At 41.0% G+C, this 15,675-nt stretch overlaps 1 long non-coding RNA gene across 1 annotated transcript in view, besides 2 other annotated features; it reads left to right on the top strand.

The window, feature by feature from the left end:
- LINC01725 (long intergenic non-protein coding RNA 1725) overlaps positions 1 to 15,675 on the top strand; it is a 285,210-nt gene that overhangs the window by 161,198 nt on the left and 108,337 nt on the right. The window lies entirely within an intron of this gene.
- Positions 6,457 to 6,992: an enhancer, noted in NCBI's record as "OCT4-NANOG-H3K27ac hESC enhancer chr1:84158490-84159025 (GRCh37/hg19 assembly coordinates)". NCBI's record gives its function as "activates a minimal SCP1, AML or CMV promoter by ChIP-STARR-seq in primed H9 embryonic stem cells {active_cell/tissue: H9 hESC(primed)}" and the evidence as "EXISTENCE:reporter gene assay evidence [ECO:0000049][PMID:30033119]".
- Positions 6,993 to 7,527: an enhancer, noted in NCBI's record as "NANOG-H3K27ac-H3K4me1 hESC enhancer chr1:84157955-84158489 (GRCh37/hg19 assembly coordinates)". NCBI's record gives its function as "activates a minimal SCP1, AML or CMV promoter by ChIP-STARR-seq in primed H9 embryonic stem cells {active_cell/tissue: H9 hESC(primed)}" and the evidence as "EXISTENCE:reporter gene assay evidence [ECO:0000049][PMID:30033119]".

Genomic DNA, 15,675 nt, shown 5'->3' with positions numbered 1-15,675 from the left:
GGGCTCAAACCTGTTTGCTCAAAGTCACAGAACAATGAAATATCAGAGCTAGAATCCAAAATAGGCTTGTGTCATTCCAAAATCTATGCTCTTGGGTTACCTATTTTTCTTCCTACCAAGGATTTCCTGCACAATGGGCCCCGTGGTCTTTCAAGGTAGTACATACTAAATCTGAACACAGTACTTACATGTGAACTCAGGATGGTAGAGAATAGTCCACGTGAAAACTGCTAGATGTGGGCTGAAAACAAATAAAGAAATGCAAAATACATTCTAAAGAGTACATTGCCTGGGAGTGGAGGGGGGCCAGGAAAGGAAAGAAAGGCAGAAGCAGGCAATTAGAAAAGGTTAGGAAGAAGTGCCTGGTAGTGATGGGTATGTTCAGTATCTTGATTGTAGGGATGATTTCATGAGTGTTTTGCTGTGTCAAAACTTAACTGTATACTTTAAATATGCACAGTTTATTGTACTTTGATAGAGCTGTAATAAAAATAACACATATGTAACAGTCAGCTATTGCTGCCTAACAAACCACCCCAAAACTCAGTGGCATAAAAGAACAATTTCTATAGCTCATATTGGCATAAAACAACGATCAATTTTTATAGCTCATATCACCATGATTTGGCTGGAGTTCTGTGGATTTAGGCAGGGCTCAGCTGGAATAGCTCTTTTCCAATCTCTCTCATCCTTCTGGCATCCATGGGCTGGCTAGGCATGAATTTCTCATGGTCATGGTAGACATGCAAAGGGGAAAGCAGAAACAGCAGAATATTTAGAGGCTTAGCTTGGAACTGGCTCATTGCCACTTTTACCTACATGTCATTTGTCAAAACAAATCCTATTACTGAGCCCAAAGTTGGAAATGGAGAAGTGCCCTTCCCACAATGAGGCTAAGGCAGGGCTTTAGATGCTGGGAGGGATAAAGAATCTGGGTCAATCGTAAAATCCATCACAAAATGTAAGAAACTAATAGCCACAGGGCTGCTACACATACGGATGTCATCATCCAGATAGCAATCTGCTTTTCTGAAAGGCAGTGTTTGAGGACATCTCTGGGCTCAGAGAAACAAGATCCTAAAAAATCAAAAGACTATGAGCCTGCTTATATTAGGGTATCTCTCTCCAAAGGAGTTAATGGCATTCTCAGAAAAGTGACTGACTCCCCTGAGAGTTGGGACATGATATGGGACCATGGTAGGGACAAAACACAAGTCCATTTGGGGAAAGAACACTAAAGTGTTATTGTCTTAGAAATTTGATGAGTAAAATACATTACCAAAAGTAATTAAAGCAACATGAAGGAATCAACTTTCCTTGCTTAATTTATTCCAAGCAAAGAGAAAATCTTAGGATGAAATTTAGTGTTGGAACCTTTTAAATAAGTTTGCCTTTCTTGAACTGGAGCTAATTTGTATAGTTTGGATTGTCCTGAAAGTTCCCTTTGTCATCAGTGACTTAAAAGTACTGCTACTGGGCAAAAGAAATCAATGATCTCTACATTGCAGGCTGAGTAATTACATCATAATGATTTACATTAATGAAAAGACAAGTTGGTCCAGATCCAGATGTGCCAGTGACCACAGTTCCCTGTGATGTCTAAGCAGAATGCTGAGGTTGGAGAAATTTCAGCATTGGTTGTGAGACAAAATGACTGGTTAAAAAGTCTTTCCTAATCAACATCACTTAATAGCTCTTTAATGACTAACTCATCATTTTTCCCCAAGTAAAAGTAAATTTAAATTTCAAAATAAAGCAAATTTTACTTATATCTGTGGCACAGAAGCAGATGTTTCCCTGACATGTGCACACAAGCTGTTGACTGTGACCTTGCAGGATAAAGCAGTTTTGAAAATTAGCTTTTGTCTCCCAATCTGGGGAAAACAATGCTGCAGTGAAGATTTAATAAAAAGTCATAGCTTCTCACAGAAGCTTATTTCAGCAAAGTAAACTATTAATTAAAATAACAAATGTCAGCTGTTTCAGAGGCTGACAGTTAACACAATGCAGCATTTGCTTACCTTGATGTACAGGATGCATGGGACACTGGATGGATCCATAATTCATTCCAGGTATGGCTCTCTTATGCCCTAATATAGTGATAACACAGTGATAAATTAGCTCTCGTTCAGCAGCTTCATTAGCAAAAGTACTTGGAGACTTGGGGAAAACCCACCTAGAGAGGGCCTTTTGGCAGACTGGAGGAATATACACTTGAACAGCTTGAATGAAAGTTTCATGGAATTCCTGGAAAACTTGAGTACCAAGAGAAAATGTAAAACTAGGTGAGAGAAAGATTAAGAGATACAGTCTGCCAGAGCAGTGCATTACGATCTGCTTTTGGCCACAGGGGGAAAAGATTATTAAGTAGGGGAAGGACCATATCACCCCCAAGAGACCACGGAAGAGAAAGGTTAGGGGAAAATGAGAGGGTCAGGTTTTAAAGAGAGGGGAGAATGAGCAGGCAGGGAAGACAGAGAAATGAACAAACATCTTCTACCTTCTCTAAAGTCAATAATTTAGAAGGGGTTTTGGAGCAGACCAGGCCCAAGTACAACACATGGGGAAATTTATTTTAATCTATTTCCTAATATGACTATGTAGGTGAGAATAATAAGTATAAAAAGCTACATCCACTCTATGAAGCATGCTGGTGGGGAAATCTGTTTTAGGGTTTTTCTATTCAGATAGACAGCTCAGTAACACATCTATTGTAAAATTAAAGAGGGAAGAAAAGTCCCTGGAGTTAGGACAACTGTAAAAGTGTGTATTGAAAGCCTGAAGGAGTGATAGCTGGAAGTGGAGAGGTAACCTGGAGGAAATGTCTGGGCAAAGCAGATTAAAGGGGAGGTGGAAATGGGTATGTTGGGTGGTGCTGAAGGAAAAGCAGTTTACTATCAAGATAGGTGCATTCAGGGAGACGCAGAGCTCTTCAAGGCTGGTTCTGCCTCTTCGCTGGATATATCAGAAGGCAGAACAAAAGCACATATCCCACAGTTCAGGTGTACCATGGTTCTTTTTAAAAGAAAAGAAATGTAAAGAAAAGTAAAGAAATACAAAAACAGAAACCAATTAAATAGGAACTGGCTGCATGAGGTACCAGCTATTCATTTTCTTACAAAACCCATGATGGGCCAAAGAGTTTTTTTTTTTTTTTCAATTTCTGGGACTGTTTTAATCTGTTCTTATGGTGGAGGCATCTACATTTTAAAAGTCATTTATTATCATTTCTACTGGAGTCCAAACTTACTGCATCATTAAGTATGATCCAGTTCACTGGTCCAAAATGAACCAATAACAGAGCCTAGAGCAAGCTTTGTGCACAGTTCCTGTTCCTCATTATTCTCTCTTTCCTCATTGGTCTGGGGACTCCTTCTAAGGTATGGGTTGCAGATAAAAGGTATTTGGGATTCATAAAAATGAAGTACATGAGAGGCATACAAGCAAGACTTTTGGTCACAGACATCGGCTTCAATCAAGCTAAAAAACCTGCCCCAAATTAATAACCAGAATCAAATGCAAGGAAGAAAAGGCAAATAAGTTTGGATGAAGTCCTATCTGACCCTTTATTAAAAATACGAAACAAGCAGAATCTTTTCAAAAGATCCCAGAGTGGGCAACCTTCACCTAGATGTGTTTTTGTCAGATGCCAGTATTCTTAGGTATGTTTCTAAGTATGATAAGGCTGGATCATGAGTAGAAACAAGGAAGGACTTGCCCCTCAGGGGAGGCATCAAATTCTGGAGGGTCTGCAGGGGCACTGGCTAGCCCACATTGGGTCTACCAAACATTGACATCAGCTTTTGTATCCAGGGTGAATCTGGCATGGGCTTCATCATGCCCATTTTCAAAAGAATCTTATCCATGCATATTCCAATGTAAGAAACTCCTTCACAGCACGACCCTAATTTTCTCACCACCATGGGAGTTTTAAGAAAAGTTAGGTCTAGACAATGTTATTGTAAACTCCTCATGTACTAGAGATAATTTACATTTCCATACAAATTTACTGAAAGCAACCTAATCAAGGGCAGCCAGTATTGAATCATTTCTGCTTCCTCCTTTTTTCTCCCCTGCAAATGTTTCTGTGACACTAAGTTGTCCTATTTGATAGGCAATTTGCTTCTGTGCGGTGTTGCCATTAGCACTTGTCTCCATGATTCTTCTTCTCCCTCAAGGGGCTTTTACACCAGAGTTCAAATCTGTGGCAAAGCACAAGCTGCAACTCTAATGCTCAGTAAGATATGCAAAAAAAAAAAAAAGTTGGAATGCCATTGAAAAACTAGGACATGGCTATCTTTGTATTGAGTTTATTTAGGGAGAAAAACTGAATTCTGTCACTGCTGCAGTTTGTGGATGCTTTATCTCATGTAATCGCCAAGGAATTAATGTGATTTAATAGCCACAACAATAAATATAGCCTTGACAAGGTGATTATCCCATAAGACTAAAATCATGGTACAGCATAAATCAATACCAGCCCTAAGTATGTCTCCAAAAGGGGTATATATTTCTACATTCACTGCTAGATGTTGAACTAATTTTGGAATTAGAAGCTGTATGAAATGCAAAAGCTATTTTTCTAAGTGAAAAATTACAGAATATGTATGATGATCACTCAGAATATATATTGCTCATAAAATGAGTAGAAGGAAAGTAGTCAAACTTTTAAAGCTAGTTCAAGTACAAATCTCTGTTCCTAAGGACATGCTTCTCTCCACTCCAAACCTACCTGGCTCAGCCCAAGTCCTCTGATTTTCCTGTCTCTGCCCCATTGTGGCCCATCAGCCCACCTGAGAGACTAACTTGACCTTCTCATGGGGACTAGCCCTTTCAGCCTTCTGTACTAAAGCAACCCAATTGATTCACCTGCTTGAGAGAGCTCTGGCTGGTGCAAAGGCCCCTTAAAATCTCCGTGGCTGGAGTTAAGTCATACAGAAAAAGAAGATATTGATCAGGAACAATTTGGCTTACCTCATCAGGAGAAGTTTCCCCAGAGACATGGGCACATCCAGGTTTTAAAGGGTATTAGCAATTCACAGCCCTCCTTTAACAAAGGTTAATCCTATTTTGAGCTGGCTTTTCTGGAAGTCTGGGTTCTGTGCCTTTCAACCAGTCCCTCCCTCCACAGAATCAGATGGGAACTTCCTTGGAGGTGAACTGCTTCTCAGCCTTCTCTGGTAGCCCTGTGCAGGCACAGGGAGATTCTCCTATGCCTGGCTCCACTGAGCTGAATAGCCCTGTGGATGCTACACCCCTCTCAACCTCCAGAGCAGCTCTTGCTTAGTGAAGAGTGCCCTAAAAAATACCATTTAAAGCCTTAATATATGAAGTGCCTTCTCTCAGAGCTGAGTTTCCCACTGCCAGATAAGTGCCGCCTTAACTACATTTTTGTGAAGTAGCTGCAGTGGCACTCAATAGCTGATTATGTTAATCCTTTAGGAATATTCGAGAAAATATCTGCCTCTTCTTCCTATAGGAGAGGAATCAAGATTTGATGCAGGTATCAAACACCTCACAGGCCTTCTAACTTATATGTTTGCAGTGTGCCAAATATTATATTTTCACTTTTCAATATTGTACATTTTTTCCTGCTTTGCTCCCATCCTCTGTAGTGCACACAAAGATTTCCTTAGTCACGAAGGATTAAGTAATTCACCTCTGAAAAATCCTTTTAAAGCATTGGTGTCTGTCTTGAAAATTGCTTCCCCTCCCTGTCTAAAAAAAAAAAAAAAAACGGAACAAAGAACCGTGTTAATCTTTTGATAACTGACTCTATTTTTTACCGGAATTTCTTTTGTGATTATTTAATACGTCTCTAGTTAATTTCAAACAGTTTCCGTTTTCAGCACACATCCCTAATCAGAGACAAGTTGTCCAAGCAGCAGGGCTGGGGAGGGCTGTTTTGGCGGAAACAAAACCCTAACACAATAATGAATACAGCCCAAGCACACTGTTCAAAAATGAAATTGGCATTATTTATTTTGACAAAGAGACAAATGTACTGGTAGCTTCATTTACCACACAGAGCTCTTACAGAAAGTCTGTTCGAAAGAGACAGATAACTTCCCACTCTGATGGGCATATCAGTAGGAATTTTATTTGTGTCTTCCTGTAAATGCAGGAGAGCTTAGCTATTGATGAGTTTAATTCTACAGGCACCAGCGGTTTGTATTTAGCCTGAGAAATAGCATTAGCGAGTTCATCTGATGGGCCCGATAGGCTTAGCTGTGCTGCGGACAGGCAGGGTACAATGTGATTACACGCTCATTCTGGAATCTCTTCCCCTCCTCACCCCCCCACCCCCCTTCTTTTCACAAATGCAGAGAAATCAACAGATGTACACTACTTCCTTCATTATTCAGGCTAATACTTGCAACTATTGATTCAGTCAGTGCTGTCGAGGTTGTAAAAATCTGTATTAACACATGGGTTAAACGGAAAAATATTTATTTAATGCTTTTGTTTACTCTTCTGCCTGCTTCTGACACTGGGAAACACACAGGGACAGGAGAGGCCCCAGCCGGGCTCTGTGTGGCTTCTCCTTGGGTTAATCACATTTCACACGTCCCCATTTCTGGCAGATGCAGCACCTGACCTCCCCTTTGTCCGTCTCTGGATGAAAGTGTGAGGCTCCATAATTTCCCTCAGGCACAAAAACAGTTTGCTTTCCTGCTGGAGGTGAAAGTGACTCCCAGAGCAGGCACAGCTGGGGCTTTTATCTACCCTTCAGCCAGTGCCGGGTGGCTGAGCTCTTTCACTTTGCATGAAAATAAAGCTGAGATTGGAGCTGCTGAATTTGGCTCTTCACAAAATGGGGGGCAGGGGTGGGGGTGAAAGGAACCTTGGGGGCTTGGTTCACCAAGTAGGAATTAGGTTGGGTGTCAAGCGGGCTGCTTGGGAAGGAGGTGACAAGTGCTCCCGACAGGGACCACGCTGAGCCGCTAAAGCAATTGAAGCCAATGAGACGTTCTTTGCAGGAGTGAAAGTGTGGGCACAGCTGTGAGAGCTGCAGGAACTGCCTTAAGGGTAGGAGGTGGAAGGGACAGGTCTGTGACAGGAACTTGCAGGAGCTCACTTACCACGGGCACTGCTCACCCCAGACAGCTCCGGTGATTTATCTGAGAGGCATTTCCCTCCCCTTTTCCTTCCCCACTGTTTTAAATGCTCAGTAGCTGGCTGACCCTTGCTCTCCATGGGTCTGCCTGCTGTGAAGTCAGTGGCCGTTCTCTGTGGGACTGAAGTCAGCAGATCCATTAGGTTGACTAATGGTGATGGAAAGATCCGTGGCCATTTGGGTTAGGGTAACATTTATGTTTGGACCCTATGATTACTGGCAGGCTACTGGGTTGTTTGGGAAATGTTCTGGGAGCTGGGGCTGTGGAGAACCTGCCTGAAAGAGTGCAGGGATGAGAGGCAAACCATGACAGGGAATGAGCCCAAGTGGCAGCTCATGTTGGAGATGGTGCCGAGTGGCAGCCGCTTGTAGGCACCTGGCAGCAGAAGGCTATGTCCTAAGGTGTTCTACCGACATCTACCAGAGCAGCTGGCGCCTGGTGGAAGGCAGATGGTGTTGGATCCCCCAAGTGTCGCTGTCTAGCAAGATGCCATGTCCACTGATTAAAAATAATTAAACATTCCTTCCTCCGGTGAAGGAGAATGGCACGCACACCAGGCAGGGAGGTTGACAATGGCATTACACAGCAAGACATGGCAGCAGCAGTGAGTGCCCAGGGTAGCAGGTGCGTCTGGCTTGGAGAAGGAGGGGTGGGAGTGGGGGTCCCAGGTTAGCAATGACAGCAGAAAGAGTTAGTGAGGATGCATATGCATGAGAGATGCATGAATGGGATCATGTTGGATGACTTTCTACTGTTCATCCGCGTTTATGGAGAATGTTTTCCAATTTCTGAATGGAAACAATGAATTTTATATTCATGACCCAATCAATATGCACTGATCACCTAATACATGTTTTTATACTAGGTGCCATGGACAGAATACATTAATAGATGGTGTTGTCTATGTCTTCATTGTACTTACTTTAGTTGAATTTAGTCACTTATTTCTCCATACATATGGTTTTTCTTCTGCAGTTTGATGAAAGGTTTGAACATACCTTCAGTTTAACAGTTTGATGGAAAGAGTTTGATGAAAGAGTTGAACGTACTGATATTCCTCAGTGGTACTGTCATAAATGAGACACTGATGAGTGTCATAAGTGCTCCCCATAAGAGTGTTGGCTGTAAGGTCATGCATGAGACTGTTTTCCAAGTGTGCCCAGGCTCATAAATAGCTGTATCCTGCTGCCTTCCCCACACCGGCTTCTCATCCCCCTACACACCCCTTCCCTTTCATAGACCTGAATGTTATCAGGAACTTGATGAAAAGGCAGCCGCATTCCTCCAACTAACTTGACTAATGATTGGAGGAGAGGAATTAGACACTGAGTACAGGTAAATCCTTCAAAGAATTTTTCTGCTATTTATTATTTAATTTTAAAATTAAATTATTTAAACATATAAATTTGCTGTAAGAGGTAGGGAGGTCAAGTACAAATGTTAAAGAGTGAACAAATATATTGGTGAAGAAATTCTCTTATGATTGTTTAATTATAAGCTGAAATTTACTGTGCATTTGTGAAATACTGCAAATTTATAAATAATAAGCCCATTTCCCCAGGTTTCTAAGACATATGGAAGATTTCTATTTGGACTGAATGATTTGATTTCAGGTCAGTGGAAACCTTCTAATTTCCTATTAGTTACAGAAGAGATTTCTCTTCCTTGCTTCAGTTAAAATCAGCCGTATTTATTTGCTAAGTATCTATATTCTATGAGTACTACATGCCACTCCATTGTGGGAGTGATAGCAAAAACAATACAACATGTATGTGAAGGAGGGCAAATTCTCAAAAATCCAATATCACTCTGCATTAGTTTGTTCACACATTGCTATAAAGAACTACCTGAGACTGGGTAATTTATGAAGAAAACAAATTTGATTGACTTATAGTTCCACAGGCTGTACAGGAAGTGTGGCTGAGGAGGCCTCAGGAAACTTACAATCATGTCAGAAGGCGAAGGGAAAACAGGCACATCTTTATGTAGTGGAGCATGAGAGAGAGCTAAAGGGGAAGTGCTACACACTTTTAAACAACCAGATCTCCTGAGAACTCACTCACTATCGTGAGAACAGCAAGGGGGAAATCTGCCCCATGATCAAATCACCTCCCACCTCATCCCTCCCCCAACACTGGGAAGGAATTGCAATTCAGTGTGAGATTTGAGTGGGAACACAGAGCCAAACCGTATCACACTCCTTGAGGGGGAAGACAGTTTTGCACTGAAGATGTGATCACAATATGATAGCATGACTTAGGGAAGGCAGGCACCTTGAAGTCAGTGAGGTATAAGCTGGCTCTTGGAATTTGGGGTTGCATGCATATTTGTGGTGAAGAATAGGAGAGATTTCCAAGAATGGAAGAAAGATTTCAGCAAAAGGATGTAGAAAGAAATAGGTGAACCAGAAGTTTAACTTGGCTGATTGAGAGAGCCCACATTTTTTTAGAAAAAAAACCAGCAAGAGGGTACCTCCGTATTACCCAAATAAGGACAACTGTTTACCCATATATGGCATTCTTCACAGTGTTCTTTAAAGACTGCATGAGAGACATGGGAATGTTAAAATCTCAGAATTCCCCTGTGACAGTCTTTATTTTGGTCCTTTCAGAACCCATTTTGAACGGTTGCCTAGCTTGATTCATAAACCACAAGGGCTAGAAAACAAACTTCACATTTCCCCAAATCCTTTGTAGCTAAAATTTTACACATGATCTAATTTCTGCCGAATAGATGCCATGTTAATCAGTTCAGGCTACTATAATACCACCTACAGGGTGGTTTAAACAACAAACATTTATTTCTCAAAGTTTGGAGGTTGGAAATATAAGATCAGGGTGTCCACACCGTCTTGGTGAGGGTCCTCTCTCTGGTTTAAAGGTAGCCATCTTCTTGCTATGTCCTCACATGGCAGAAAGATAACTAGCTAGCTCTCTGGTCTCTTCTTCTAAGGGCATGAATCCCATTCAGAAGGGCTCCACTCTCATGCCCTAATTACTTCCCAAAGGCCCCTTCTCCAAATGCCATCAATGCCATCTAATCCGAGGGAGGAGCCAAGATGGCCGAATAGGAACAGCTCCAGTCTACAGCTCCCAGCGTGAGCGACGCAGAAGACGCTGCATTTCCAACTGAGGAACGCAGCTCCTCAACTGCAACGGAATAAAGCTGGACGGAGAATGACTTTGACGAGTTGAGAGAAGAAGGCTTCAGACGATCAAACTACCCCGAGCTAAAGGAGGAAGTTCGAACCCATGGCAAAGAAGTTAAAAATCTTGAAAAAAAATTAGACGAATGGCTAACGAGAATAACCAATGCAGAGAAGTCCTTAAAGGACCTGATGGAGCTGAAAACCATGGCACGAGAACTACGTGACGAATGCACAAGCCTCAGTAGCCGATTCAATCAACTGGAAGAAAGGGTATCACTGATGGAAGATCAAATGAATGAAATGAAGTGAGAAGAGAAGTTTAGAGAAAAAAGAATAAAAAGAAATGAACAAAGCCTCCAAGAAATATGGGACTATGTGAAAAGACCAAATCTACGTCTGATTGGTGTACCTGAAAGTGACGGGGAGAATGGAACCAAGCTGGAAAACACTCTGCAGGATATTATCCAGGAGAACTTCCCCAATCTAGCAAGGCAGGCCAACATTCAAATTTGGGAAATACAGAGAACGTCACAAAGATACTCCTTGAGAAGAGCAACTCCAAGACACATAATTGTCAGATTCACAAAAGTTGAAATGAAGGAAAAAATGTTAAGGGCAGCCAGAGAGAAAGGGAAGCCCATCAGACTAACAGCTGATCTCTTGGCAGAAACTCTACAAGCCAGAAGAGAGTGGGGGCCAATATTCGACATTCTTAAAGAAAAGAATTTTCAACCCAGATTTTAATATCCAGCCAAACTAAGCTTCATAAGTGAAGGAGAAATAAAATACTTTACAGACAAACAAAAGGTGAGAGATTTTTTCACCACCAGGCCTGCCCTACAAGAGCTCCTGAAGGAAGCACTAAACGTGGAAAGGAACAACCAGTACCAGCCACTGCAAAAACATGCCAAATTGTAAAGACCATCGAGGCAAGGAAGAAACTGCATCAACTAACGAGCAAAATAACCAGCTAACATCATAATGACAGGATCAAATTCACAAATAACAATATTAACCTTAAATGTAAATGGGCTAAATTCTCCAATTAAAAGACACAGACTGGCAAATTGGATAAAGAGTCAAGACCCATCAGTGTGCTGTATTCAGGAAACCCATCTCATGTGCAGAGACACACATAGGCTCAAAATAAAGGGATGGAGGAAGATCTACCAAGCAAATGGAAAACAAAAAGAGGCAGGGGTTGCAATCCTAGTCTCTGATAAAACAGACTTTAAAGCAACAAATATCAAAAGAGACAAAGAAGGCCATTACATAATGGTAAAGGGATCAATTCAACAAGAAGAGCTAACCATCCTAAATATATATGCACCCAATACAGGAGCACCCAGATTCATAAAGCAAGTCCTTAGAGACCTACAAAGAGACTTAGACTCCCACACAATAATAATGGGAGACTTTAACACCCCACTGTCAGCATTAGACAGATCAACGAGACTGAAAGTTAACAAGGATATCCAGGAATTGAACTCAGCTCTGCACCAAGCAGACATAATAGACATCTACAGAACCCTCCACCCCAAATCAACAGAATATACATTCTTTTCAGCACCACACCACACCTATTCCAAAATTGACCACATACTTGCAAGTAAAGCACTCCTCAGCAAATGTAAAAGAACAGAAATTATAACAAACTGTCTCTTAGACCACAGTGCAATCAAACTAGAGCTCAGGATTAAGAAACTCACTCAAAACCGCTCAACTTCATGGAAACTGAACAACCTGCTCCTGAATGACTACTGGGTACATAACGAAATGAAGGCAGAAATAAAGATGTTCTTTGAAACCAATGAGAACAAAGACACAACATACCAGAATCTCTGGGACACATTCAAAGCAGTGTGTAGAGGGAAATTTATAGCACTAAATGCCCACAAGAGAAAGCAGGAAAGATCTAAAATTGACACCCTAACATCACAATTAAAAGAATTAGAGAAGCAAAGCAAACACATTCAAAAGCTAGCAGAAGGCAAGAAATAACTAAGATCAGAGCAGAACTGTAGGAAATAGAGATACAAAAAACCCTTCAAAAAATCAAGGAATCCAGGAGCTGGTTTTTTAAGATCAACAACATTGATAGACCACTAGAAAGACTAATAAAGAAGAAAAGAGAGAAGAATCAAATAGATGGAATAAAAAATGATAAAGCGGATATCACCACTGATCCCACAGAAATACAAACTACCATCAGAGAATACTACAAACACCTCTATGCAAATAAACTGGAAAATCTAGAAGAAATGGATAAATTCCTCGACACATACACCCTCCCAAGACTAAGCCAGGAAGTTGAATCTCTGAATAGACCAATAACAGGCTCTGAAATTGAGGCAATAATTAATAGCTTACCAACCAAAAAAAGTACAGGACCAGATGGATTCACAGCCAAATTCTACCAGAGGTACAAGGAGGAGCTGGTACCATTCCTTCTGAAACTATTCCAATCAATAGAAAAAGAGGGAATCCTCCCTAACTCATTTTATGAGGCCAGCATCATCCTGATACCAAAGCCCAGCAGAGACACAACAAAAAAAGAGAATTTTAGACCAATATCCATGATGAACATCAATGCAAAAATCCTCAATAAAATACTGGCAAACCAAATCCAGCAGCACATCCAAAAGCTTATCCACCATGATCAAGTGGGCTTCATCCCTGGGATGCAAGGCTGGTTCAACATATGCAAATCAATAAACGTAATCCAGCATATAAACAGAACCAACGACAAAAACCACATGATTATCTCAATAGATGCAGAAAAGGCCTTTGACAAAATTTAACAACCCTTCATGCTAAAAACTCTCAATAAATTAGGTATTGATGGGACGTATCTCAAAATAATAAGAGCTAGCTATAACAAACCCACAGCCAATATCATACTGAATGGGCAAAAACTGGAAGCATTCCCTTTGAAAACTGGCACAAGACAGGGATGCCCTCTCTCACCACTCCTATTCAACATAGTGTTGGAAGTTCTGGCCAGGGCAATCAGGCAGGAGAAGGAAATAAAGGGCATTCAATTAGGAAAAGAGGAAGTCAAATTGTCCCTGTTTGCAGATGACATGATTGTATATCTAGAAAACCCCATCATCTCAGCCCAAAATCTCCTTAAGCTGATAGGCAACTTCAGCAAAGTCTCAGGATACAAAATCAATGTGCAAAAATCACAAGCATTCTTATACACCAATAAAAGACAAACACAGAGTCAAATCATGAGTAAACTCCCATTCACAATTGCTTCAAAGAGAATAAAATACCTAGGAATCCAACTTACAAGGGATGTGAAGGACCTCTTCAAGGAGAACTACAAACTACTGCTCAATGAAATAAAAGAGGATACAAACAAATGGAAGAACATTCCATGCTCATGGGTAGGAAGAATCAATATCATGAAAAAGGCCCTACTGCCCAAGGTAATTTATAGATTCAGTGCCATCCCCATCAAGATACCAATGACTTTCTTCACAGAATTGGAAAAAACTACTTTAAAGTTCATATGGAACCAAAAAAGAGCCCGAATCGCCAAGTCAATCCTAAGCCAAAAGAACAAGGCTGGAGGCATCACTCTACCTGACTTCAAATTATACTACAAGGCTACAGTAACCCAAACAGCAAGGTACTGGTACCAAAACCGAGATATAGACCAATGGAAGAGAACAGAGTCCTCAGAAATAATGCCGCATGTCTACAACTATCTGATCTTTGACAAACCTGACAAAAACAAGAAATGGGGAAAGGATTCCCTATTTAATAAATGGTGCTGGGAAAACTGGCTAGCCATATGTAGAAAGCTGAAACTGGATCTCTTCCTTACACCTTATGCAAAAATTAATTCAAGATGAATTAAAGACTTAAATGTTAGACCTAAAACCATAAAAACCCTGGAAGAAAACCTAGGCAATACCATTCAGGACATAGGCATGGGCAAGGACTTCATGTCTAAAACACCAAAAGCAATGGCAACAAAAGCCAAAATTGACAAATGGGATCTAATTAAACTGAAGAGCTTCTGCACAGCAAAAGGAACTACCATCAGAGCGAACAGGCAACCTACAGAATGGGAGAAAATTTTAGCAACTACTCATCTGACAAAGGGCTAATATCCAGAATCTACAATGAACTCAAACAAATTTACATGAAAAAAACAAACAACCCCATCAACAAGTGGGCGAAGGATATGAACAGACACTTCTCAAAAGAAGACATTTATGCAGTCAAAAGACACAAGAAAAAATGCTCGTCATCACTGGCCATCAGAGAAATGCAAATCAAAACCACAATAAGATACCATCTCACACCAGTTAGAATGGGGATCATTAAAAAGTCAGGAAACTACAGGTGTTGGAGAGGATGTGGAGAAATAGGAACACTTTTACACTGTTGGTGGGACTGTAAACTAGTTCAACCATTGTGGAAGTCAGTGTGGCAATTCCTCAGGGATCTAGAACTGGAAATACCATTTGACCCAGCCATCCCATTACTGGGTATATCCCCAAAGGATTACAAATCATGCTGCTCTAAAGACACATGCACATGTAAGTTTATTGTGGCACTATTCCCAATAGCAAAGACTTGAAACCAACCTAAATGTCCAAAAATGATAGACTGGATTAAGAAAATGTGGCATATATACACCATGGAATTCTATGCAGCCATAAAAAATGATGAGTTCATTTCCTTTGTAGGGACATGGATGAAGCTGGAAACCATCACACTCAGCAAACTATCACAAGGACAAAAAAACCAAACACCGCATGTTCTCACTCATAGGTGGGACTTGAACAATGAGAACACATGGACACAGGAAGGGGAACATCACACACCAGGGCCTGTTGTGGGGTTGGGGGAGGGGGGAGGGGTAGCATTAGGAAATACACCTCATGTTAAATGACGAGTTAATGGGTGCAGCACACCAACATGGCACATGTATACATATGTAACAAACCTGCACGTTGTGCACATGTACCCTAAAACTTAAAGTATAATAAAAAAAATCATCTAATCCTTGGGACTAGAGTCTCAACATATGACTCTACAGATGCTTTGCAATCCATTGCAGATGCTTTCTTATGAGACTTAGAAGAGTAATTGAGTTCTTATGAGACAACAGATGCTGGACATGAGACCTGATCACCAGGTAAACCAGGAATGAAGGTATCTGGTCCTTTAGGGAAGTTAAAGTAGAATTTCTGGAGCTAGCACCAAGTGGCCCAGGTGTCAAGCAGGAGGTTTGGCAGCAATGGTGTTTCTCTAGAACAGTCCTCAGTGATTGGAAATTTTTTTTAGGCTGCTCTGGTCTTGATGGCATATCATCCAAGCCTGGGTTTCTTGGTTCTGCCTGAGATTCTGAAAGCTATCTAATATCTTTTATGAAAACTTTTTCTAAAC

Source organism: Homo sapiens, chromosome 1 (genome assembly GCF_000001405.40).
Source record: "Homo sapiens chromosome 1, GRCh38.p14 Primary Assembly".
Lineage (NCBI taxonomy): Eukaryota > Metazoa > Chordata > Mammalia > Primates > Hominidae > Homo > Homo sapiens.
Note: the sequence above shows the minus strand (reverse complement) of the source record. Positions and strands in the feature narration are given on the sequence as shown.